The sequence below is a fragment of the Homo sapiens genome, chromosome 10, assembly GCF_000001405.40.
Source record: "Homo sapiens chromosome 10, GRCh38.p14 Primary Assembly".
Taxonomy (NCBI): domain Eukaryota; kingdom Metazoa; phylum Chordata; class Mammalia; order Primates; family Hominidae; genus Homo; species Homo sapiens.
Window position 1 is genome coordinate 127,972,752 of NC_000010.11, and position 25,316 is coordinate 127,998,067.

General features: G+C 44.9%; 1 protein-coding gene across 15 annotated transcripts in view, besides 1 other annotated feature; it reads left to right on the plus strand.

Moving 5' to 3' along the window:
* The window catches only part of PTPRE (protein tyrosine phosphatase receptor type E), a 178,753-nt gene that overhangs the window by 65,649 nt on the left and 87,788 nt on the right, over window positions 1-25,316 (plus strand). For 4 of the 15 annotated variants that reach the window (NM_001316676.2, NM_006504.6, XM_047425578.1 and 1 more), the window contains one exon: window positions 9,523-9,545. The exons of 8 other annotated variants lie outside the window; for them this stretch is intronic. In NM_001316676.2, coding sequence (NP_001303605.1) covers window positions 9,523-9,545 — 23 coding nt within the window. Of the gene's footprint in view, window positions 1-5,130; window positions 9,546-14,528; window positions 14,645-25,316 lie in introns of those variants that run through there. 3 more of the 15 variants (XM_005252691.3, NM_001316677.2, XM_047425576.1) reach the window with 2 other exon arrangements.
* Window positions 4,619-5,119: an enhancer, noted in NCBI's record as "H3K4me1 hESC enhancer chr10:129775634-129776134 (GRCh37/hg19 assembly coordinates)". NCBI's record gives its function as "activates a minimal SCP1, AML or CMV promoter by ChIP-STARR-seq in naive H9 embryonic stem cells {active_cell/tissue: H9 hESC(naive)}" and the evidence as "EXISTENCE:reporter gene assay evidence [ECO:0000049][PMID:30033119]".

Here is a 25,316-nt window from a genome sequence, read left to right on the forward strand (position 1 = left end):
TGCTTCTCCCTCCCTTGGACTGTGGATTACAGGAGAGACCAGTAGCCATGCAGGTGGCAGGTGGGAGGCCTAGGGTTCTGCAGGTATGAGCAGACACACATCAGCCCCCTCTACCACCGGCCTTTAATGTCTCCACATCACACAGAGGCCTGGGACTGTCCAGCTGTGTGGTGCAGCGGCTCGAGCACATACACTTTGGGATGATTCCTTGAGTTGTAAAGAAAGAAAATAAATCTCCTTGAGAATGATGGATGCACTGCTTAGCAGTGGAAGAGGAGAGCTGACCTTTCTAGGTAGACAAAACAGAATGCCTGTCAAACATTACACTTTTGTTGCAGTATATTGTTCCAGAATGGAGCACTGCATATTTTTGCTATAATGCTGTTTTTGTTTCTAAATGAATACTGCAGTGTTCTTTTATGTGGAGGAGGGATTCATTACTGGTTCACAGAACTTTTTCAGTGGTGGGGAAAAAATAGGTGCTTGTCCTCAGCAATGCGTATCAAGCCTAGACACATTTCTGTTAGGAGCACAGTGATTTGTGAATTCCCTGACAGCTTACCTTTTATTATGAGCTCTATTTTAAATAGAGACATGTAGCTTTTCCTCTTCAAGACAATATAACAGATACCTAGAATCTTCTCTGTTATCTCTCATTTGTTTTCAAGCTAGCCTCTTTTTTGTGCATTTTATAGGGATTCTTATTTATGAACTAGTTTAAATGGTTCAGATCAGCCAGTTGTTGTGGGGTGGAGGATCATTAAAACAATAATATTTACAAATGTTTCAGCAAAGTGGCTAGTCGATTGGCAGATTTTTCATTCATCAGCTTTCCTAATTTTCAGAATCTTCCTGAGGAATATCTAACAAACGTCTCTGCTCTGAGTACCATATTCCTGAAAAAAAAAAATTGATCTGTTTTCAGGATGGGTCTCCCCTTTTCTCAGGCTAATATATTTTCTTAGTCTCTCGCTAATATCCTCTGCATGCCTGTGAAGGATGCATCATTTTCTGATAGCTCTGCGCCTGAACGCCACCTCTGTCGATGGCAACGCTTCACCCAGGCCCCCAAGCCAAGCCCACGGTCACGCTTAGCTTCCTTCCCTTTTCCCCACTTCTCACATGCCTCCAAAGCTTGTGAGCTCTGCTTCCTCTATTGTTAAATGGCTGCCCCCTCCCCGGCCGCCCACCACTGCCCTTGAGAACACCTGTTCATCCTGCATCTGGACCACAGGTGTGGCCTCATTAGTCAGGAATCCACAGTCCACACTTAGCATGGTCCTGCCCCTTATTCTTCTCTGCAGCCATCACAGTGACCTACTTTGCAGAGAGCAGAATGGGAATGCCCAGGCTTGCAGACTTCTGCAGCCCCCTTGTGGCTTCAGCCCAAAGCCAAAGGTCTCTGCAGCATTCCGGGATCTGCCCACCACACATCCCAGGCTCACAGCAGTGATTTATTGGGTCCAGGCCTTATACTGAGTTCTGCGTCCGGTCCTTACCTCCTTTACTAACCCAGCAGGAAATTTTATTATCTCTATTTCGCAGATGAAGAAACTTAGGCTTAAAACTGTTGTGACTTGTTCCAAGGTCAAAGCCAGGATCCAACTTATTTGCCATTTCCAGAATGTTCCATACACTCTCTGGCTTCCCGGTTTTTGTTTATGTGTTCTTCCTGGGAATTTTCTTCTTGAGAAAGATGACCTAACTTTAGCCAAACACAGGTTAGTGTTCTGCTTCCATCTTTCATGGCCCCTGGGCTTGCCACGACCTAGCACTGCTCACCCCTGCATTTCAACGATCTGTTTATAAGCCTGTCCTCTGGACTTCTTTTAGGGTAAGGAGGCTGAGGTTCTGTCCATGTATTTTTTTTAATCTCTAAATCCTAAGCAATTGGCACAGAAATAGCACATAGTAGATGCTCACTAATGTTAAATGGCTGGTTTAGCATATTGATGTACTCATTCAACTAGTATTTTATGAGTTTCTGGTACATGCACAGAACTTTTCATATACTGAAGATGTTCAAGCTAGAGATAGCAGGTTTTCTATTCAGAAATCACCAAATTAGCCACAGATGCTCTGTCTTTGGGGAGGGTCTGCACCTGCCTTCGTCATCTGTAAAATGTGGATCATACCTCCCCACCTCATAGGGCAGCTGAAATGGCAGCAAATATCCTTAATGTTAATCCAGAGTCCTACTGTACTGTGTTGTTGTAGAGACGTGAAGACACATAAAGATGGAAGGGGCGGGCGGGGAACAGCTAGGCACCAGGAGGGATACAACCAGGGCAGCCCAGAGGGCTCAGAAAAGATGTCAAGGAGAGAGTAGGACTTGACCTACTGGATCACCTGGCGTCTAGTGGGTTTGGGTGAGACTGAGGCTTTGTGGGACAGGGAGCAGCATGAGGGAAGCAGGGGGACTGTGCTGTGTTGGAGCCCCGTGAGACACGGTTGTGTGAGTGAGCGGCCTCTAGAAGGTGGATCACCGTGGTGTCTGCCCGACTTGATGCTCTTCCTGTGAGCTTCCAAACCTGTTAAGCAATCCAGAGGGCTGTTTACCAACACACGCTACTCTTCTTATCCGTGCCAATCTCATCAGCAAACATGCTATTTCCCTTATTCGTGAATAATAATTATTATTATTTCATAATAAAATGATCTTTCTGAATAATTATTTAATGCCAGAGCTCATCCATTCTGCCTTAGTGAATATTGCTTTGCCCTGGCCTCTGGCCACAGGTTACCGTGGACAGCCGAGTGTCAAGATCATCACCAACCAGGCCCTTCACACACATGCTTAGCCTCATCGCAGACCTAGGGTCACCTGGTGAAAGGCAGGTGTGTTTCCAATTGGCACGCTGAAAAAGAAAACCTGAAAACACTGATTTAACATATCTGAGTATTAGAGATCAATCATTTTCTCTGGGGCTCACTGAACAGGAATTAGCTCAAGAAAAACATCTTTAGCGTGTTCAGTTACCATTAGCGTCAGGCACCCAGCAAGCTTGTCCTGAATACATTTCAGAGTCCGAGCCCAATTGGAGGAGCGAGGCAGGTAGAGGGGAGTAAAACAGGCCTTGTTTTCGAGGACTGCTGCTCTGAAGTCCCACTGCACTACCCAGTGTGGGGAGTCCTTGTGGCAAGCTACCCTATATCTCTGAGCCTCAGTTCCCCCTCTGCAAAGTGGGTCTAATAACAAACTCCTCATATGAGTATTGAGAGGATGCAGTGATCCCTGTTGGGTGCTTGGCGGGGAGTCTGGCATGAAGTTCCTGTCCTTACAGTGGCTGTTTCTTCTGCAAGGGTCTTCTCTTGGTGGCAGTTAACACCGTCCATCCCTGTCCTCAAACACTAGATCCCCTGCCAAGAAGCTACTCATAGGGCAAAGATTTTTTTAAAAAACATGACAGTGACTGTCAGTATCTGAGAAGTGTCCATGCCCAGCGCCAAGAGGTGAACAAATTCATAGCTCTCCCCTCTGGGGCTTGGAGGGCACCCCTACACCTCGGAAGGGAGCCTGGAATCAAATTGCCATGTTTCCAAATTTGATACTGATAATAATGGCATAGACAGACGAGGCAGTATGGAAACCAGCAGACACTCGTACTTGCAAAGGAGGATTTGTCTGGCTTTCTAATTTGCATGTTTCCTAATCCAAAGAGGGTGCCTCAACCGTGGAGTAATTAGAGAGTGTGTGCCTTGGTCGGGGGAGGAGGGAGTTTGAGAGGCAGGCAGGGATGCACGTGGATCTGTGCTGAGCAGCTGCCCATGAATAATTTCTAAAAGTTGCCAAATATTTAGAAGTCCTGCTCGTCTGTCATAGACTGGCAAAAAGGATGGTTGAGAAAAATGGGTCTTTTTCTTCCCCCAGGCTTAGCAACATTGTTTTAAAGATTTCATCTCCTTTTCAAGGTGGTTTAACGCTGTGGGGAAGGCAGGATAAGATTCTACTAAACTCCTTCATGTCAGGGAGGGCTCCCTCCCCCAAGTTCAGTAGCTCCTTCTGTCCTGTCTTTCATGCATTAGAAAATATAGACATTAACAGCTTTACTGTTGCCTGGAAGGTAAACAAGGAAGCTGTGAGTATGATATCAGTGCGAATCTGAAGCCTAGATGATTCAGAAACGTTTTGCTTTCTTCCATCATTTGAATTACCCACTGGAAGCAGAATGAAGTTGTCCGATAGAATGCAGAGACAGCCGCAGGGGCCGTGGCTGCGGTTCTGTCCATTCCCCACTACACTTAATTAAAGTGATGAGGTCTCTGTTATTTTTTTATTTGGAGTAATGATCCTGCTCTTTGACCAGTCCATCTAAAGTAATGGTCATAGTCATGGTGCTTAAGCGTTACTGTGATTGAGGGTGAATGACAGTTCTTGCTACCCCAGTGCCCTAATTGATCAGGACAGCTCAGTGTCTTTTGGGAAAAACTGGAGTCCAAGAGAAGGCAGCCAGGATTGAGGAACTTGGCTCCGGGAGCTGGTCATTCACAGTAAGACTGCTTCAAGGTCAGTATCTCTGGCATTTAACTGCATGAAGTGGAGTTTTATTCCATATCCTTTCTTTATAAAATTTTAATACATCATGAAAAGTTCACATTTTAGATATACTCATAGAAACATGTATGTAAACATGTTAAAATAAAATGTAAATGCACTTCCAAAAAATTCTTCAAGGTTGCTACTCGTTTAAAAGACTAGCTTGGAGATACGCATGCTACACAAGCCACTCAGCAACCTACATTCTGCCCACTCGAATGCTTGTGGCGCCTTAAGCCAAGGTTGTGTGTAAAAGGCATTTTCCTTTTGTCCGAGTTTGGAAAGATTGGCCAGTTCTGTTCATCTCAGAAGTAATTTGAATGTTTCCCTTAAATGGAATAGTTCCGAGGGACTGATTCTAAATGCTGTAGTTTTATTTTCTTCTTTGCAAGGTTAGGATGCACAATAACGTCGCTCCGTCTTTCCATATCTTGTGAGTAATCAGGACCCAACCCAGCAGCCTGGCCACTTCCTGTGGGCGCCCTCACTGGCCTGACCTTGCCTGCCCCTGCCCCCCTTCCTAAGGGTGGATTTCCCCTGTTCCGATGTTGTCACCATGGCTTTTTCCCAGGGCCTTGTCGGGCTCCCTCCCTGCTTCTGTTCCCTGGAAGCAGAGTGGCTGCAGCTGTGAGCTCCAGGGACTCACCAGCCAAAGCTCCAGCCAAAGCTCCAACTCTGTGGCCAGGCTGGTCCAGGCCTCTGTGGGCCAGGCTACTTCCAAAGACCCACTTCTCCCACAGTAAATATATGGCCATCCCGGGGCTTTCCTTTCTGGAGGAGAGAACATAATGGAGCATCCTCTAGGACAGGAAAATATTTTAAGGAATAATCCAGTATCATTATTGCCATCTGCAGAATGCCTTTCCTACACCATTCCTACACTAAAGGAATTACAGCTTCACTGGGAGGAAGGAGATATAGACAAAAGAAGCAAAACAAAACAAAAACAAAAAAAAACAAGCAGACAAGCCTGGGTATAGTGGCTCACGCCTGTAATGCCAGCACTTTGGGAGGCCAAGGTGGCTGGGTCGCTTGACCCCAGGAGTTCGAGACCAGTCTGGGCAACATCAGGAGACCCTGTCTCTACAAAAAATACAAAATTAGTGGGACATGGTGGCGCACACCTGTAGTCCCAGCTACTCGGGGGGTGGCTGAGGCAGAAAGACGGCTTGAGCCCAGGACATCAAGCCTACAGTGAGATATGATCGTGCCACTGAACTTCAGCCTGGACTATAGAGTGGGACCCTCTCTCAGTTTAAGAAAAAAAATAAAATAAAACAAGCAGACAAACATACATTGCAATGTAGGATGGCTTCCTCCGGGAGGCCTAGCCAGGAGTGGGTTCAGCAGCCCCGGGCCGGCATTGCCGCTGCCCTGTCTCCTCGCTCTGTGATGCTGGTCCAGAGCCTCACCAAGCCTCAGTGTCCTCATCTTTAAAGTGGGTCTCACCGGCCGGGCTTGGTAACTCATGCCTGTAATCCCAGCTCTTTGGGAGGCCGAGGAGGGTGGATCACTTGAGGTCAGGAGTTGAAGACCAGCCTGGCCAACATGGTGAAACTCCATCTTTACTAAATATACAAAAATTAGCCAGGTGTGGTGGTGTGTGCCTGTAATCCCAGCTACTCAGGAGGCTGAGGCAGGAGAATCACTTGAACCCAGGAGGCAGGGGCTGCAGTGAGCCAAGATCCCGCTACTGCACTCCAGCCTGGGTTACAGAGCGAGACTCCATCTCAAAAAATAAATAAACAAATAAAAATTTAAAAATAATAAAGTGGGTCTTGCCTTACCTACTAGGATAGTTGTTAGATGTGGGAGAGATGCCATAAGCAGTGCCCAGGGCACTCCACAGCCCGAGAAATCTAAGCTCATCTCTCCTTCCCCTTGCTGGAGGACAACAACGTTCAAGAGAACAACAGGAAGCTTTCCCATGAGTGGAAGGATGTTGTGTCAGCTTCTCACTGACCCCACTTCACGGATCTGTCTGCTCAAACCAACCTCCCCAACCCCCAGCTTTTAAATGTGCCTCTTTCACAGTTTCCAACTTGTTGCTCAATATTACAGTAGCCATCAGCGTCGCAGTGTTGGCCTAATGGAAGTCTTCACTTGGTAAAGGTTTACTTTAGAGAACATTATGATTGGTTTTTGCTCTAATTCTTTAAGAAACTGATAGTTGTGGTTTCCTACTATCATGTGTGAGCCACAAACCAATAAAATACCTGATCTATTTGTAGTACAAAAATTAGCGGAATGTGGTAGTGCACACCTGTAGTCCCAGCTACTTGGGAGGCTGAGGCAAGAGGACTGCTTGAGCCCAGGAGGTTGAGGCTGCAGTGAGCCATGATTGCACCGCTGCACAATAAGGCAAGAGTTCAGTGTATTCTTGCCTTATTTTTTAAAAATCAGCTGCAAGTTTAATTTCAAGTTATGATTTGTGTTTGATTGGGGTTGTCAATCGTGCAACCATTGGCAAAGTGCCAACAGGTTCTACCAAAATTGGTCTTTTCCCATGTGGTTTTAGTCTGGTTTGACTCAAGCCTGCTGCCACTGTCTGCAGCCCTGCTCCAGAAACTTCTGCATGGCATTGGGTTTTATTTTACATTAAAATAAATCAGCATTGCATTGGAAGATTGATCATTTCTATCAATCCTCTTGAGATATTGGAGGTATAACTTCCATTCCTGGCTTCTTCCCTTGCTTGGCCCCAGTCAAACATCACGAGTCACTCTTTTTAGCATCTTTTCTGGTTCATTTTGGGGAGTGGAAAGGATGGACTCTTGTAATAAGTTATTCCTACAAAAAAGCAGTTCCCCTATCTGCAGTGATCCTCAAGTAATCATTTCTTGCCCAAAAACCAATGCCCTCTCAGTCCCCTGCCATCATGCTCTATGTAATACTGGGTTCCACTGCACCCTGGAAACCCTCTGTGCTTTAATATGTTACTCAACAGATTTTCCCCGGTTGTTTTATATAGCTGCCCCAGTAGGTGCTTTGGCATTATATAGACTATCTTTTAAATTTTATTTATAATTGTTGTTTCCATATACAAATCCTTTTTTTTTTTTTTGTATTAGTAACTTTATACCTTGTGACCTTAACTCATATATTGCCTCTAGTGGCTATTTTTGAATCCTTTGGGATTTTCTACATAGACTATTATGTCATTTGAGAATAAAGTTTTATTTTTTTCTTTTCAATGCTTATGTCTTTTAATTCTTTTTCCTAACTTATTGCATTGGCTATGATTTCCAGGATAATGTTAAATAGGAGTGGGACAAATCCTTGCTTTGTTCCCAGTGCTGGGGAGAGGTATTAAGTCTTTCACCATTAAGAATAATTTGAGCTGTAGATTTGCCCAAATAGACTTAAAATTCCTTAGTTACCAGAAGTATTTTTTCTGCTTCTTGGGCTTCAAACACACCTCATGGGTCAGCTTTTAAATGTATAACAATATACATTTAAACAATTTTTTAAAAATATAACAATTTATAACAACTTTTAATTGTGTGCTGTAGAGTCTTTATTTGATATGATTTAAAATATCTAGTTTTGTCAGGACTAAGATAGCAAGTAGTCTATTTTAGTGGAAAACATCATGTACTGCATTCACTATTTAAAAATAGTAACAATCAAAACATGCTTCCACCCTTCACCAGTGCAGACGTGCAGTGACGACTGAGCAAGGTCTCATTCACAGGTAGATAGCAGCCTAATCAATAATCCCAGTGTGAGGCTGCCATGCTGACCACTCAGAACAAAACAAGCGAGCTAAATTCATCCACTGAAGAATGGGTCAACAAAATGTGGTATATCCATGCAATGGAATATTATTCAGCCATTAAAAGGAATGAAGTACTGGTACATGCTACAATAGGGATAAATCTCAAAAAATAATACTATTATAAGTGAAAGAACCCAGTCACAGAAGGCCACGTATAGTGTGAGTCCATTTATATGAAATACTCAGAATAGGCCAATCCATAAAGACAGAAAGTAGATTGGTGTTGCCAGGGGCTGGGGACAGGATGGAGCTTGGGAGCTAGTGAGCTAATAGTGGGTGTGGGGTTTCTTTTTGAATGATGAAAATGTTCTAATATTAGATTACATTGATGGTTTCAAGCTGGGTGAATATACTAAAAACCATTGAACTGCACACTTTAAACAAGTGAACTTTATCGTATGAAAATTATGTCTCAATAAAACTGTTTTTTTTTAAAAAATAAAATAACATGAGAGCTAATTTAATGGGAGGCTGGGCATGGAGGCTCATGCCTGTAATCCCAGCACTTTGTGAGCCCGAGGCGAGCAGATCACTTGAGGCCAGGAGTTCGAGACTAGCCTGGCCAACATGGTGAAACCCTGTCTCTACTAAAAATATAAAAATTAGCAGGGCGTGGTGGCACATACCTGTAGTCCTGGCTACTCAGGAGGCTGAGGCAGGAGAATCGCTTGAACTGGGAGGCGAAGTTTGCAGTGAGCTGAGATCACTCCATTGCACTCCAGCCTGGGCGACAGAGCAAGACTCACTCCGTCTCAAAAAAAAAAAAAATTAATTAATTAATGGAATTGATCAGGCTAGATAAAGATTAAGCTAGAAAGCTGGAGAAAGTGAGCTGCCCCAGACCAGGTTGTAAAAGGCTCTTCTGGGGGGAGGATGGGCTAAAGGAACTACTTGAAGGGGAGGGAACCCTATAGGCCACAGCAGAGGCAGCTGACTGATGGAGCATCTTGGGGGCTAGGTCAGTGGCCACACCCCACCATCAACTGATCATTAGAGGTTGTATTAAAGTGTGGGGTAGGACATGGTTAAAAGCTGATGATTGCAGCCAAAAGAAGTATCATCTAGATAAAGAGGTCTCCAGAAGACCCTGAACAATTAAGCAAAAATGGGATAGTCGACTAGTGCTGTACAGAAGGAAATGGCTAGAATTAGCAGCCAACTCCTGTTAACCAGAAAACTGACTTTTTTTTTCTTCTTTCTTCTTCAGACTATAGCCTTCACTTTCCCTCGGTGAGTACAAAACTTTTTAAAAATTATTTTTGATGTACAGATAACTAGTTTAAAATAATATGTGGGATTTAATTATTAGAAGAGCATTGTTTTCTTGAGAAAGAAAGCCATATGGTCAGTGTGTTATATTTGAATTTTATGCCTTACCTTGCTTGAGCAGGCTCATATCACACCTTTTTGTTACATCATTTGCGTGTGTGTGTGTGTGTGTGTGTGTGTGTGTGTGTGTGTGTGAAATTTGGCTCAGCTGCTTGGTCTCCTGAAATGTATTGTTGAGGACACAATTTCTACATGCTTTCCTTTCACTGACGTGTCGTTGCTTTTAAAAGGGCCTAGCCTTATCTCAATGGCACACATCTGACCAGCGTTCAGGAGCGCAGGGGCACATAATTGCATTGATGGTAACTGCTTCTTAAATTGATCTGCTCTAGAGAAAACTGCTGAAAAGGAGCTTCTCCGGATTGCATGCTCAGTAAAAGCAGTGTCAGTGGTGTCGCATAATTTTATGCCTTTTGGGTCCAGGCAATGGCAAAATTCCATGACCTTGATGTCCTTAGAAAAAGAAAACTTTAAACAACAGAGCCCTTTTGCAGTCTACTTAATCAATTTAATGCTGTTAAATTTCCTAAACAAATCGAAGGAAGAAAATCTAAGAGCTTTCGCAGTGTCTGCAGCGTGCAGGTGAGTGGCACGTGGACTTCTGGGTGTGCTTGCTTTTAGCGGGCACCATGATACCGGTCACCAGGAAGCTGTATTTCCTAAATGTATTGCCTTGTTTGAAAGGCACTGACTCCGTTCTGAAATCATTTTCAGGTCAATGGATCAATTATTGTTCCCTGGCTGGCCCTCTTTTTTAGGCAGGGTGCCCTTTGTGGCACTGTTCCATCTGGGCATAAATGCTTATGGTCGTTCTTGGTGTGATGAAATGCATTTTGACTGTGTGGATTGTTTCTTTCTTTCTTGATAAGGAATGTTAAATAAAAGTAATGATTGATTAAGCTAGAGAAGAGGGATGCCTTCGTTTGCCACCTACCAAGTTAATTTTGTTGTCTATGTTCTCCATTGCATCATTATAAGACGTTGTTGATTCTGAATGGGGAACTCTTCTTGGGTAAATGTCAGCGGTGGGATCAAAGAGAAGGATCGTTACTGGAATCATATTATGGGATGGAGGATTAACTATATGAAATCTACAATCCCTGATAGCCTCAGAATCCTATACAAGGGGTGTTGGCTGGTCGATACTGGTTTGAACGCTTATTAAATGTGGCTTTCTTCAAAAGCAATGCAGCTGCGTGCTTTATCGAATGCAAATGTGCCTACCGTGCTAGAATGAAATATTTGAGTGTCAGATCCCACAGATATAGCTCCTTTTGAAATACAGGGCTCAGATTATGATTTGTTACAAGTGTGTGACCTTTGCACCCCTTGTCTCTCCACTCAGTACTGGCCCCTCCGCACCCCATTTTGCCTTCTGCCGCTTCCAAAATTTCCTATTCCTCCCAGCAAGTTGACCTGCTCCCCATCAGTGAGTCAGCAGCTCCCGCAGCTGAGTGATCCTGTGACAGGTGCTTCCGGGGCTCCTCCACCTCCCGGCCTTGTCTCAAAACCGGCAAGAGATTCAGAAGTAGGTGCCCCACCCGAAGGTCACTGAACGTGTGTGCAGGAGCTGACTTCCTGTCCTCCCTGCATCCACCACGGGTAGTTGGCGGCCAGAGCCGCTTCAGGGGGCACCTCCCTTTTCCTGGCCCCACCCTTCCTTTGCCTCCATTTCTTTCTTTCTTTTTTTTTTTTTTTTTTTTGAGACAGAGTTTTCCTCTTGTTACCCAGGCTGACGTGTGATGGCGTGATCTCGGCTCACTGCAACCTCTGCCTCCCGGGTTCAAGCGATTCTCCTGCCTCAGCCTCCCGAGTAGCTGGGATTACAGACAAGCACCACCATGTCTGGCTAATTTTGTATTTTTAGTAGAGACGGGGTTTCTGCATATTGGTCAGGCTGGTCTCGAACTCCCGACCTCAGGTGATCTGCCCACCTCAGCCTCCCACAGCGCTGGGATTACAAGCATGAGCCACCGCGCCTGGCCCTGCCTCCATTTCAGTGGGAAAGTAAAGCTCTGCTTCAGGAAGATCCTGAGTTCCTAGATTAAGGGTACTTCTGATTCCAGAAATCTTTCTCTTGACACGAGGAAAGGGTATTTGAAGCCTGGGTCTCCTATCTGTGCTGCCTTGTCTGCTGCCTTTGTTTGGGACCTGCCCACTGGGCCACTGATATGGTTTGGCTCTGTGTCCCCACCCAAATCTCATCTTGAATTGTACTCCCCTAATTCCCACGTGTTGTGGGAGATAATTGAATCATGGGGGCGGTTCCCCCATACTGTTCTCGTGGTAGTGAATAAGTCTCACGAGATCTGATGGTTTTTTAAGGGGTTTCCACTTAACTTCTTCCTCATTCTCTTCTCTTGTCTGTGCCATGTGAGACGTGCCTTTCACCTTCAGCCATGATTGTGAGGCCTCCCCAGCCATGTGGAACTGTGAGTCCGATAGGCCTCTTTCTTTTGTAAATTGCCCAGTCTTGGGTATGTCTTTATCAGCATCATGAAAATGGACTATCACAGCTGCCAAGGTAGAATACCAGACTGATCTATTAGCCTGTTGCATTTTCACTGCTAAGCATTTGAGACGTGTACAGAGCTTCAGGATATCTATTAATGGAAGGGAACTTATTGCTCACTTGTGGGATTCAGAGACGTGCTTTTGAGTCAGTTAGAACTAAAAAGATAGTCCACCTTGGGCAGGGCGGCTAAGCCCACTAAGGCTGGAGATGGTGCCACAGCCACCGCCCACACTGGGCAGCTGACTGCAGAGGAACCTAGTCACACGTGCTGGATGAACACATCAGCCTGTGCAAGCCTTCTTTTCTCTCATCTATCCATCACTTCCTAGGATGTGATGTGACATTTAAGTGAGATGGCCCAAAGTAAGCATTTAATAAAAGCTAGCTATGGGCTGGGCGTGGTGGCTCATGCCTGTAATCCCAGAACTTTGGGAGGCCAAGGCAGGTGGATCATTTGAGATCAGGAGTTCAAGACCAGCCTGGCCAACATGGTGAAACCCCGTCTCTACTAAAAATACAAAAATTAGCCGGGTGGTAGTGGCACACACCTGTAATCCCAGCTACTTGGGAGGCTGAGGCAGGAGAATCGCTTGAGTCTGGGAGGTGGAGGTTGCAGTGAGCCAGGATTGTGCCACTGCACTCCAGCCTCCATGACAGAGTGAGACCCTGTCTCAAAAAATAAAAATAAAAATAAATAAAAGCTAGCTGTGGTTATCACTGCTACTCTTATTATGATCATCATCGCAGAATCATGGCAACTGTTTCCAACTTTTAAGGAAGGCATTTAAGTGGATTGTAACATATATGCTGGTACTATAGTGGGTATCAAAAGGAGTTCCCTTTACTAGCAGTATTCCAATTTTTCACTTAAAAAAACTATATTAATATTTGACATCTAGGCCGGGTGCGGTGGCTCACACCTGTAATCCCAGCACTTTGGGAGGCCGAGGTGGGAGGATCACCTGGGGCCAGGAGTTCAAGACCAGCCTGGCCAACATGGTGAAAGCTTGTATCTACTAAAAATAAAAAAATTAGCTGAGTGTGGTGGCGGGTGCCTGTAATCCCAGCTACTTGAGAGGCTGAGGCATGAGAATTGCTTAAACCTTGGAGGCGGAGGTTGCAGCGAGCCAAGATCACACCACTGCACTCCAGCCTGGGTGAAAGAGCAAGACTCTGTCTCAAAAATTAAAAAAAAATTGACATCCAAAAAAATGAGTCAAGTCTTTTTTCCTGTTAAGCTGGATTAGGAAGGGTCTCTTGAGTGGAGTCACCCATTCCCATGTTTTCCTTTCCTTTTTGTTTGTCTTTAACAATAGATTTATGAAAATAACACTGTAGTTCGTATCAGTGATCCAATATGACCAAAGTTCCTTCAACTGGAGAAAGCTTGCAACTCTGTGGGTCTCTCGCATAGTATTTAATGCAATGGAATTTCAGAATTAAGAATTTATAAAAGACGTATCGTTAAGGTTTAAATATTTTCTCCAGACTCTTTGAGGTCTTATATTGTTATACCTAAGGGTATCCACTAGTAAGTAAAATTAAATGATTCTGTAACTTGACTATTTCACTTTGGTTCATGGAAATACCCAAGGAATAAAAGAAAACAAAATTAACGTGTGAATATTCAGCAACTGTGAGTTTCAATTTTAAAATGTACTTAGGCTTCCCTTCACTCGCTTGTTCTTCTTTAGTAATCTCTGTTTCCTCCTCTGTCACTTTTAAGAAGTGTGATTTTTTCTCTTCTGACTCATTTGTGTTTCTTGATGTTGATTTGAATGGCTACCATGACAGGAAAAAAAAATCTGTTCGTTTTAAAATAAAGCTCAGGGTTCTGACAGGCAGGGGGACCACCCCAAGCTGGTTTCTGGCTGCATCCGCTGGGGTGACGTTTCCAGCAGGGCAGGAGCTATATGCCCCGGGCCGGCCTTCAGAATCCCAGAAACAAGTGAGAAGCCTGGTGGGCAGAGCACATATAAAATTAAAACTTTCTAAGACATGTGATTCCTATTTCCCTTCTTCTTCTTATACTGGGGTTTTTTATGAGCACCAATGGATTCCACGGGTTTCTATCCAAGCCACAGCGACAAATTATTCTCCTGGTGACTGAATTAGAAGTTGACAGTAAGTTGGAAGAATGCCTTTGGATCTGACATGACAAACAGATTAATCCTTCATTTATTTCCATTTCCAGTCCTCCCTCCCCCCGGAAAGTTTCCACATTCTTTCAAGAAGTGCCTCCTAAAAGAGCCTAGTAGGTAATCCTTTGTCACAGAGCAAAGGCATGGGCGTTAATCAGTCACAGTTTCCCCTAAGAGGAAATAGGAACACAGATTTCCTATATAAACTCATGTCTCGTCACCGTGTTCACAGCAGACCCAGTTCAAAGTTGGAATTCTTCTAGAAATCCTTTCTCAGCTGTCAGGGAAACATGGATTCTCCAAGGCCAGGATGGTTTCCCAGCGTCTTCCCAGGAAGACAAGAGGTAACGGGGAGCTCAGAGGGGTCTTTCTTGTCTCTTTGGTTTTGTGTCATGGTTGCTTCTAATATAATTTCTAAAGTACCTAAAAATCAGGCTAAAGAATATTACCAGGAAGGCGTCGTTAAATGAAAATTTGGCAAGCCTCTTAGTTACCTTTATCCAGCTCTGTGCAGGAAATCTGGGATCTATGCTTCAGGAAACCATTTCCAGTCCACCACGCCTCAGTCGATAGTGCACTGGGGATGGCATGGAGGCATTGTCTGTTTGGGCCTGGTGGGTTGTCAGACAGCCAAGAATCCAAGGTGAGGTTCACCTTTTTAGAAAAACAGTCCCTAACAATTGCTGGGGACATAGGCCGGCTCGATGACATGGGAAAATCCCACCCATTGTAAATTAGACATTTTGTATCTTTGTAATCAAAACTGCCCTCTTCATTTTTCATTTGAAGTGGCATTTTAATTAAGTGACACACAGAGCAAGTGTGAGGGACCTGGACTGCAGGCCAATGAGCAGGTCTTCAAGGAGCTTGTCTTCAGGCTCCTGAGGCCAGGGCCGGCACTCTGTGTGTAAGGGTTTCCTGCCTGTGCAGTTCATGTTGCGATATTGTCGGCTGCAGATGAGTGCCAACTGCCTAAGGGGTGGCATCATTCATATTGGGAGAAAGAAGACAAGAAATGTATAAATGCTTTTGGGTGTATGAGTTACAGAGAGATTTCTCAGACCCGGCGGTGCATCAGGATGAGGTCTCGTGCCAAATGCAAGGGCCGTGGGTGGACCAGTCCTACCTGATACAGGAACTCACCCTCAACTGCAGCACCATCCCCTGGGGGTGGCCCCCTGTGGATTGAGCAACAGGAAAGGAGATCACATTCTGCTCAAAAATGACCATTTGCAGTGACTTTTTTTCTTTTCTTTTTTTTTTTTTTTTTTTGAGACTGAATCTTGCTCTATCACTCAGGCTGGAGTTCGTTGGCACAATCTGGGCTCTTCGCAAACTTTGCCTCCAGGGTTCAAGCGATTCTCCTGCCTCTACCTCCTGAGTAGCTGGGATTACAGGCACCTGTCACCATGCCCAGCTAATTTTTGTGTTTTTAGTAGAGATGGGTTTTGCCATATTGGCCAGGCTGGTCTCGAACTCCTGACCTCAGGTGATCCGCCCACCTTGGTCTCCCAAAGTGCTGGGATTACAGGCATGAGCCACCCTACCTGGCCTGCGGTGACTTTTTAAAGCTGCTCATACACATGAACATAAAGATGGAAACAACAGATGCGGGGAACTCCAAAAGGGAAGAGGGAGGGAGGAGAGCAAGGGTTGAAAGACTCTCTATTGGGTACTATGTTCACTATTGGGGTGATAGGTTCAATAGAAGCTCAAAGCCCAGCATTGTGCAATGTACCCATGTAAGAAACCTGCACACATACTCTCGAATCTACAATAACATTTTTTAAAACTGCTTATTATGTTGCAGAGTTTGGTAAAAATTATTTAAAATGGTAAGAAAGGAAGGATCTCTGTGGAACTACTGAACAAAAACATGTCATGTAATAGATTTTCTGGGTAGCTTTTCTCCTTGTTTTGAATAGAAATGAGCATAAGCAAAAAAACGAAAACTGGATTTGTGTTTATTTTATGATGAGGGCTGTTTCAGTTCTAACAACTTTTAAAAAATATGTTGATAGTATTTAACTGATTTCAAACAACTCTACCAAGATTCATCTGCTATCAGAAATGGTGCAGATTTCATGTTCAAGTGCTATAACATATACATATAGATAGCTTCTTAAAGCTATATATATTATATTTTACATATACATATTATATATTTAAAGCTATCATGTTAGCATGTTGCTGCTGAGAAATGAATTTTTTTAAATCTCATGTTTGTGAAATTATTATTTAGAAAAACAGGATTTGCTCTATTTCCTGTTTTTCCAGATAACTTACATGCCTTATGCTTAAACAAAAATTGCATTTCTGATAAGACACATACATATGGAGCACTTATTTACAAAGCATGCTCAAATTCATGATCTCAAGTGGGCCCCCTAAACATGCAGAGGCAGCAGTCCAGGCATGCCTTGTCACCTCTCCCTTAAAGAGGGGAAAACAGAGACCCAGGCAGGCTGGATAAGTGAGTTGTAGGACAGTGGAAAGGAAGTGCCAGTCCCCAGCGGTGCTCTCTCGGACTGAAACGCTGCTCCTCTCCAACTGAAAAAACAGTCGGCTCTCATTACCACCACCAAAGGTGAAGTTCAGACCTGCCAAAAGAAAAACTTTTCCGTTATGAAAAATATTATTTGACAGTTATGCAAGTGACAGAGAACATTAACAAATAAGAACATATCCTGTGGATTCTGCAAACGGTTTGCTGGTTGATAATTATATTTTGGAACAGTTTTATGATCACTTGAGTTGATCTTGGCCAGAGTTCCCAATTATTTCTGCATGTTATCTGCTGACCAAATCCAGCTTTCTAATCTCTTTTCACACACTTGGCATGTTTCCTTCCAGCACAGCCAGTAATTTGTTCATTCGCTCACTGAGGGTTTATCGGGTTTATCAGGTATCTCTTGCAAGCTTATAATTGTGCAAGATATTGAAAAATGAAGTGGTTGATTCTAGTTCTAATTTCAGGAAATATTGCTTAGAGAGCCAATGTTTGAGTCCTTTCTCTACTAAGTATAAATGTGTGTTTTGCCCAGGAGCCTAGAAAAATGATTGATTAGAAAGATTTTAGTTCTGGAAAGTTGAATGGCCTCTGTAATCCCAGCACTTTAGGAGGCTGAGGTGGTTGGATCACTTGAGGTCAGGAGTTTGAGAGCAGCCTGGCCAGTATGGTAAAACCTCATCTCCACTAAAAATACAAAAATTAGCCAGGCATGGTGGCACGTGCCTGTAATCTCAGCTACTCAGGAGGCAGAGGCAGGAGAATCACTTGAACCCAGGAGGCGGAGGTTGCAGTGAGCCGAGACTGCACCGTTGCACTCCAGCCTGGGTGACAGAGCATGACTCCACCTCAAAAAAAAAAAAAAAAAAAAAAGAAAGAAAAGAAAAGAAAGCGGAGTGACTTAGACTTGTCACTTCATCACTCTGAGTCACACCTTCTTGGTCTAAAACATAAAGGGCTGGGTGAGAATTGTTTAAAGACATCTTCAAGACCTAGAGTTCTATGCTCTAGGGTGGTGCTGGTCTGGATTTGGAGTTAGCAACAGAAATCCCCAGAAAGTAACTACTGCATGTGTCGGCCATGACGGGGACCAGCCGCACTCATCCCCTTGTCTTGCAGGATGTGTCTGCATGTTTTGGGGTGAATGTTTTGTCATCTTCCTATGAGAAAGCAGCACTGGCCTAGGGGCTTCCTCCTCCTGCCTCGCTCATTTGTTTTTGCTCTCTCACTGCTCTCCAAAAGAAGCAAGAACATTTTTTTAAAAAGCATTTTATTAATGGAAAATTTTTATTTGAAATATGGTCATTTCCTTTTTATAATGTTGCTTCTATTCAGGAAGGAAAAGCTGAGAATCCGTGGGCTTTGATTTTAAAACTCAAACAGAAATGTTAGTTAATAAAACAAAGGTATTTTTCCCACTGTTCTGAGGGCCATTCTGGCAAATGGTTCCGGGGGCCGCGTGATGGTTTATGTTGCTAGAAGAAGTGATTCACTGGGAAGGTGAACCACTTCATCTCGTCAGAAACCATGGAAACCCTCGATATCACTCTGTTCCCCTCTTAGGGGAGTTCTCAACAGAAGACACACTGGAAAGTGGATGTCACCGGGATGAAGTTAGAAATCCCAAAAGTAGACTATTTGAGCAAGATCGAATTCAAAGGCATCACTATTTTCAAAACCTGTTTTTGGCTTCCTTCCAATCTGAAGCCAACACCGACATTCTGTTATGCTGTTTCCCGTTGTGGGCGGACTGACTTAATTTTTAATGAGTGATTCACTACCCACGGCTGTATATTTTCCGCCTGCTGAGCTGAGAATTAAGTCATTTTCCTTTAAAAAATTCTTTCTGATACCAGCTGAGTAATGTGGTTCTCAGTGTTTGAGACAAGGAGGCATGTTAATATCACTTAAGAGAGGGTGTTTAACCTGACCTAGGCTCTTAAGACACGGCAAGCATGACGCCATCATGAATGGAATGCTCTCTAGAAAAGGAGCCTGTCTCATTCAGCTTTCAAAAACATTTCTTTCTATAAAAATATTTTCCAAAGTTGTGCAATTTTTTGAAACATTTTCTGGGGGTAATACAAATCCAATCCATTTGGGAAGTCGCGTGGGAGGTTTCCTAATGGGAAGCCTGGTAATATCAGGTGTTTCCCTACAGTGTTCGCAGGGTCTCACCCCTGTCCACTCTGATGACTCTGACTGGCCTCTGTCCGTCCAGCAGGGATCTGGCAATCCTTTCTGATCCATAATCTTTATTAGAATAGCACCGGAGGTACTTGTGGCCACCAGAGCTATGTAGCTCCTGTCTTGGGCCCCACCCCTTACCAAACTGTTCCCTCTCCTGGGCCCCTCAACACCACTCCTTCAGGATGACTCTGAAGCACAGGCCGCCCTATCTTTACAGTGAGTCCCTCCTGCCTGTCCTGAGCACTGACCAGTGAGCCCACCGGGTGAGCAGCTGAAGCTCCTCCCTGTGCCCAGCACCTCGGGGCCCCCAGGATCAGATTTTACCCAGTAGAACCCAAGAACCTAGAGGATGGGAAACACAGCTAGCAAGGAGGTGGCAGGAGGGGTGCAGATCAGAGGGGTGAGAAAGGGAGGCTGGAGGGGCAGGTGGAGCACTCAGGAGTTAGTCATGGGGAAAACAACATGACCAGAAAAGGAGCAGAGGTGGGGCCTGTGAGGCTCAGGTACCGAATGTCTGTGCTAAGCAACCACGTGGGGGTCAGCAGGTCACCCCTCTTCTAAGGACATCCGTCTCCCTAGCTGCTCAGTGGAGTCACCTCTGCAAGGCTCTAGGGTTCTCGCCATCCAGGTTGGGCCCTCAGAAGAAACTGAAAAGTTCTCGCACGAAATTCATAGCACACTGAAAATACAAAGGGTGGCAGCTGGGGGTCTCTTTCTTTGGGAATGATTTGCTCTTAGCCCAGCATCTTGGGCCTCAGCTCGGGGCTTCCTGAAGCCGAGCTTCCCTGGTGAAGAGGCCCCCTATTCAGGGCAGCTGCTCACCAACGCTCCTGGGCCTCGGGGCACTCAGGAAACACCCGAGTTACCCTCAGGGCCAGACCGCAGGCCTGGAGCCTCTCCTTTTGCTGATGCACCTGCATCAGAAAGCCAGACACCTGCTCTAGAAACCTAGGTACCAGGTCTAAAATCCAAATACAGCATCAGGAGCCCAAATACCTGGTTAGAATCCAAGTCCCCATTCAGAAAACTAAGTATCATGCAACAAATCCAAATACCTCTTCAGAAACTCAAATATGTGGTCAGAAAGCCAGGTGCGTGCCCAGGCATTTGTAATAACCGCGTAAGTGGGAGTCTTCATTTTTCTCCAGAACAAGTAGCCCCTTTCTGAAATTCATCATAAAGCTAAAAAATAAATAAGAATTGTTTTATTTCAGTGAGGCTGTAGTGCATTTTTTTAATGTGTCTGCTGTGTATATCACAGTGTGCCTGGGATATCTGAAAAAGTTTGAAGTTGCCCCGGTCACAGAATCTAGGGTCCTGATTGAAAATGAGCAGAGGGTTGAGGAAATAGACTCACTGAAATTGCGTATTCAGGTCTATGAAAGACAGAGAACTACATCAGGGGTGTCACAGCAACCCAGGGGCTCCTCTTCTAAGTTTCTTAAATCCCCAGGAAAGGGTTTTCTTCTAAGACGTGGTTAGAAGGAAATGAACTACTAATCTTGAGAAATGAAAAGTCAAGTTCGGAGAATGGCCTGACAATTCGCGCTATCAGAGAGTGCATGTTTTCTCTAACTCCCATTTTCTACTTTATCCATAATTTATATGATGTGTGACACATAACTTGAAGCTAATGCGTGGTGGGGCCACCGCAGAGGGACAGAAAACAGTTGATGTGGAAGCCATGCCTGACTGTCACAGACGGGGATGGGGGGCCAGGGTCTCAGCTCCTGGAGGGGGCGAGGGAGCCCATTGTCCTGGGATCCCCAGGGTTCACCCAGCATGCATCGGGTCTCAGGAACCTGCGTTGCTGATGGATATGTGAATGAGGGGATGAACAGGCGTGGAAGAAGGGGGAGTAGGGAGAAGACAGTTGTATCTTTGCATTCTTCACAGAGCCTGGGGCAGCACTTAGCACAAACAGGGCTGGCTACTTAAAACCCGGGGTCACTCGTTCAAAAGGCAGGAAAAAAAGCTTTTTCCTTTCTTCGTGTTCTCTCTCTGGATCTTTCATAGTGGTGTGTGTGTGTGTGTGTGCGTGTGTGTGTGTGACCTTCTATTTAATGTCACATTCCCCCAGGCACTAGGATACTCTCACTGCCTTCAACTGGGCAGGTAGAAGGCATCCATCCAGCCCCCATCCTCCCTGTTGAGGAGTTGGGGGAGTCTCAGTTGCTGGTCGGGGCAGGAAGTGGACAGTCAAGAACCCAGCGGGATGGAGCAGAAGGTGGGCCAGGTGTGAGTTGAGGGGTCATACCCCGGCACATGTCCCATTGCCCCACCAGAGTTCCCTCACAAAACACAAGTTCAGAGATAAAATTCTTATGACATATGAAGGTAGCAGTTACAGAGCATTAAACCCCAAGCATGAGGGGCTCTCTTCTGAGTGAGGGCCTGAGCACTGCTCTGCTCTCGTGTTCCCGAAGCCCACCCTGAGTACGAGAAGTGAGGGTCAGAGCCCTGCAGGGTCCTGCCCATGGTGACTGGCGAAGGACTTTCTTTTCCGGGGGAGCACAGCCAGAGCTCTCTTCTCTGATTCCATCATTAGTTTCTGGAAAGGCCTTCCCTGCCCACTCTATCTGATGTTACCTATCCAACTTCCAGCCCCAAGTTACTTTCTGTACCCCCGTTTTACTTTATATTGTCATTAAAGCACTTACCAGTATTTGGAACTGTGGTATTTACCCATTTTCTCACCCGCAAGAACGCAGGCCCCATAGGATAGGGATCCCATCCCTCTGTCCCCTTGCACAAGTGCTGGCATGAGAGAGGCACCCAGTGAATTTTAGGTGCATGAATGAATAGTCTTTACGTGACTTTGTATCCTTTTAGGAGCAAGCTGGATATAAATAAATACATGAAGTCAACTAACACCTCCAAGTGGCTCAGTCAATTTTCAGTGATTTTTCTCTGTCCAACACCAGACTGGCTTCAGTGATTTCTTTCACTGATGTGGCCACATTTGTTTTGTTTTATTTTGTGGCCATGCAGCCCGATGTCGCAGGGGCTGTTGGTCCTCCTGACTCCCTGCTGGAACGTAAGGGAGAGCCTCATTCCAGGTCTGCACTGGCCCCAAACTGGGCCAAGACTGCACATTTCAGTTCACTTTGGGTTTCTGATAGCAGTTCTCTCCCCAGCCCCCATCCCTAGGATTCCTAAGAGCTAAGGGATGTACCCACCAATCCAAGCCACCTACTAGCATTGAACTTCTGTGTCTTGAAAAGGGATTTTGTTTTGAACCAGTCACTGGGAGATGCGTTCTAAGGTGAGGGCTTCCGGGTCAATAAACCTGTAGGTGTCGCCCACCAAAAAAAGTAAATCTGACCTCAGCCCAGTCCCATGGTGGTGCCTATTCCATCAGGGCAGAGAGTCAGCAGCTGGCAAGAGAGGCTCAACCCCCACCACTCCTGAGAGCCAGGAGGCCCTGGCATTCAAACTCAGGCTTCACAGATCCACACATCTTTGTTCTCAGAGAGGAGAACCCAAAGTGTGTCTCCCAGTGAGTTCTGAGGATGAGGGAATTATGAAAGGCACCGTGTCCACTTGTGAGATAAACCGACCCACCTGGTTCCTCATAGTGGGAGGTGGCTCAAGTGTCAAGTGGCCCATGCTACCTGGTCTTCTTGGTTTTCTTCCATCCGCGTCCCTGGAGATGGTTATGTGCTTTGCTTCTTACTAAATGTATCCAGAAGCCAAGGCAAGCTAGGAGGAGGAGTGGGATCTGGATCTGCAGATCCAGAATAGCACCGCAAAATTACCCAGCTGGGGCTTAGCTGACTGTCCAGACCCTGACGGTGGGGTTTAGAATTGGATAGCATCCAAGCCTTTCTGTGATTTCATCAGCACCATCATGCAATAGGTTGTTTAAACACCGATATGAAAACCTGTTTTCCAACGATGCTGCAACATTTGATTAATTCTTCTGGATGGGATATCAAGGTGGCTAAAGCAAGCATTGCTTGCAGTTATGATGAATTTGCTGAGTGTCAGAGGAAAATTGTCAGGCCACAAACTAATCATTCTTAGGTGCCTCATTTAGCATTCTGTCCATGTTTATACCAACTCTACACGAGCACACACACACACACACACACACACACACACACGCACGCAAAGTATTGGAGACCACCTTGAACTAAATGGATTTGACCTCTATTTGTAAAGGGTGCATTAGCGTGAAATGGAGGGGGGCTTTCTTTGAGGGTTCAGCAAGCCATCTAGCCTACATGCTGCTGTCTTAGATGCCAGCCTTGGTCTTAAAGAGCCTGGTTTCTAAGGGAAAATTCATTTCATGGACATCTTGTTGCCAGGAATCAGTGTGATTCACTTTTCATTTCAGGATGATGTTGAGTCCTCTGTGTTATTCCCAGTGTGGACGTGGAGTAGTGACTGATGTCTAATTATTTGGAAGGGAGAGAGCTTCTCTAAGAAGGACATGCAATGTCAGAAGCTTCCGTTGCTTGGCAACACGTAACTTTACCTATGTTTCACCAAAGGCAGTTTAAAGGGCTAAAGATGCCCATTCAGGCAATAGTAGATTACAAGGAAGATCTCGAAAGCTGGCCCGTCAAAATCGCTTTCCACCATAGAAATAAACACCTAAGAGAGGGTTTGGGACGTGAGTGGTTGCGTGTTGCACACCAGCAAACAGGGTGAGAAAGAAGGCAGTGGTGCCATTTTTCCAGAATCATACTGTGTACATGCCCTGTTAAAGTTGATTCAAATTGCTCATTCCTTACAGTAAAACCTCCAACCTGAGACTCCCCTTCAGAATGTATGCCCCTGCAGCTTCCCCAGTTTTTATGACTGTGGCACCTCACTGGAACCCATGCCAGCCCCTTCCCATCCAGCTAGTATGCCTCCCGGCATTCGGCTTCAGCCTCCAGCCTTGTTTCATGTCAGCAGCTGAGCTCATGAAAACTCTTCTTTCCAATGAAGGAGGAGGCTGAGAGGTGCACCAATGGCTGGATCCAGGCACACGCAGGCTCCGAGTTCACAGAAGCAGGGCCATCATGTCCCGGCTGTTGGGAGTTCCTGTGAATGTTGCAACTCTCATTTCTTTTTGAAGTGGGTGTGTAAGAAGCATGTCTGTTCATTGTGGCAGCCTGAGTTTTGGAGGCCCCACAACATTCTTTCCTATGTGGAAAGAGTTTTCTTTTTAATTCAGAAACAACAAACCTTCTCAGCCTCAAACCAGGCCAATCTTACAGTGTCATGGCAAAACAAAGAAAGAAAGAAAAAGAAGAAATTAAAACATGCAAAGCAAAAAACAAATAGAAAAAAAAAGAACACAGTGCAACAGTCAAAATCAGGTTAACTTAATGAATTTGGGCCGAACTTAGATTTAACATTTCCTTGAAGTTTGGCTCCCATAAATCACCTGTCTTTTTCAAACAGCAGCCTCTGAAGTACAATCCAGATTATTTCTCCCCTTTTGATCAATGCTTTTCCCGGGAATCAAACCCAGCTCTTAAGAGCATTTATAATGAAAGCTAAAGACAGCTGACCACTAACTGGCCCTGAACACCCAGGTAAACTCTGAGTTTGCCCACAAGGAAAAGTTATGGCGTCCACATGCTCCAAAGGGGACTCCATGTTCAAGGTAATCTCCCAAGTCCCTCTGCTGCTGCTGGCTGTGAGGCATCAACATCCTCCCCCAACCTGGACTCAGGGGCTGCAGCCTCAGAGGACCAGCGTCGTGGAGTTCAAGTTCAGTTCAGCACTTGAATAGTACATCCTTCAGGAAGCCAGGGCACTGAAGACTGAAAAGCAGAATCCTAACATTCATGTATATTTTAAAGCCAGAGTTCACAAATCGGAGACCTTAGGAATTAATATAAGTACATGTACATGTATTTGTGGCTATGTGTACTAGTTACAAATAAGAGACAAGAAAGGAGATATACAAATAGGAGAACAAAGCATATTCAAAAATGAATATGGCAAAAGTTCAAATGAATGTGAACTAACAACAAAAAAATATAGTTTCTCATTTCTAGGCATATTACTTCTGCTTTTTCAAAACCATTTCTCAAGTTATTGATAATAATACGAATTCTGTCCTTAAATTGCTCAGTGAAGGAGAGTAAATTAATGTATTTTAAGATGATCTTTCTGTTTTGAAGTCCTGCTGCTTCCGTCACATTTACACCAGCAGACACGGACACTTCCATCTGTCCCCATTCGTCATCACTGTGAGATGAAGCTAAGAGTTCGATTCACTAAGTTTTATATAGCCAGTACCATGTGAAACACAGGATTTGATTTAAGTGTGTGGTGTGACTGCAATGGGAAGCAGTCGAACACACAGCAGCAAT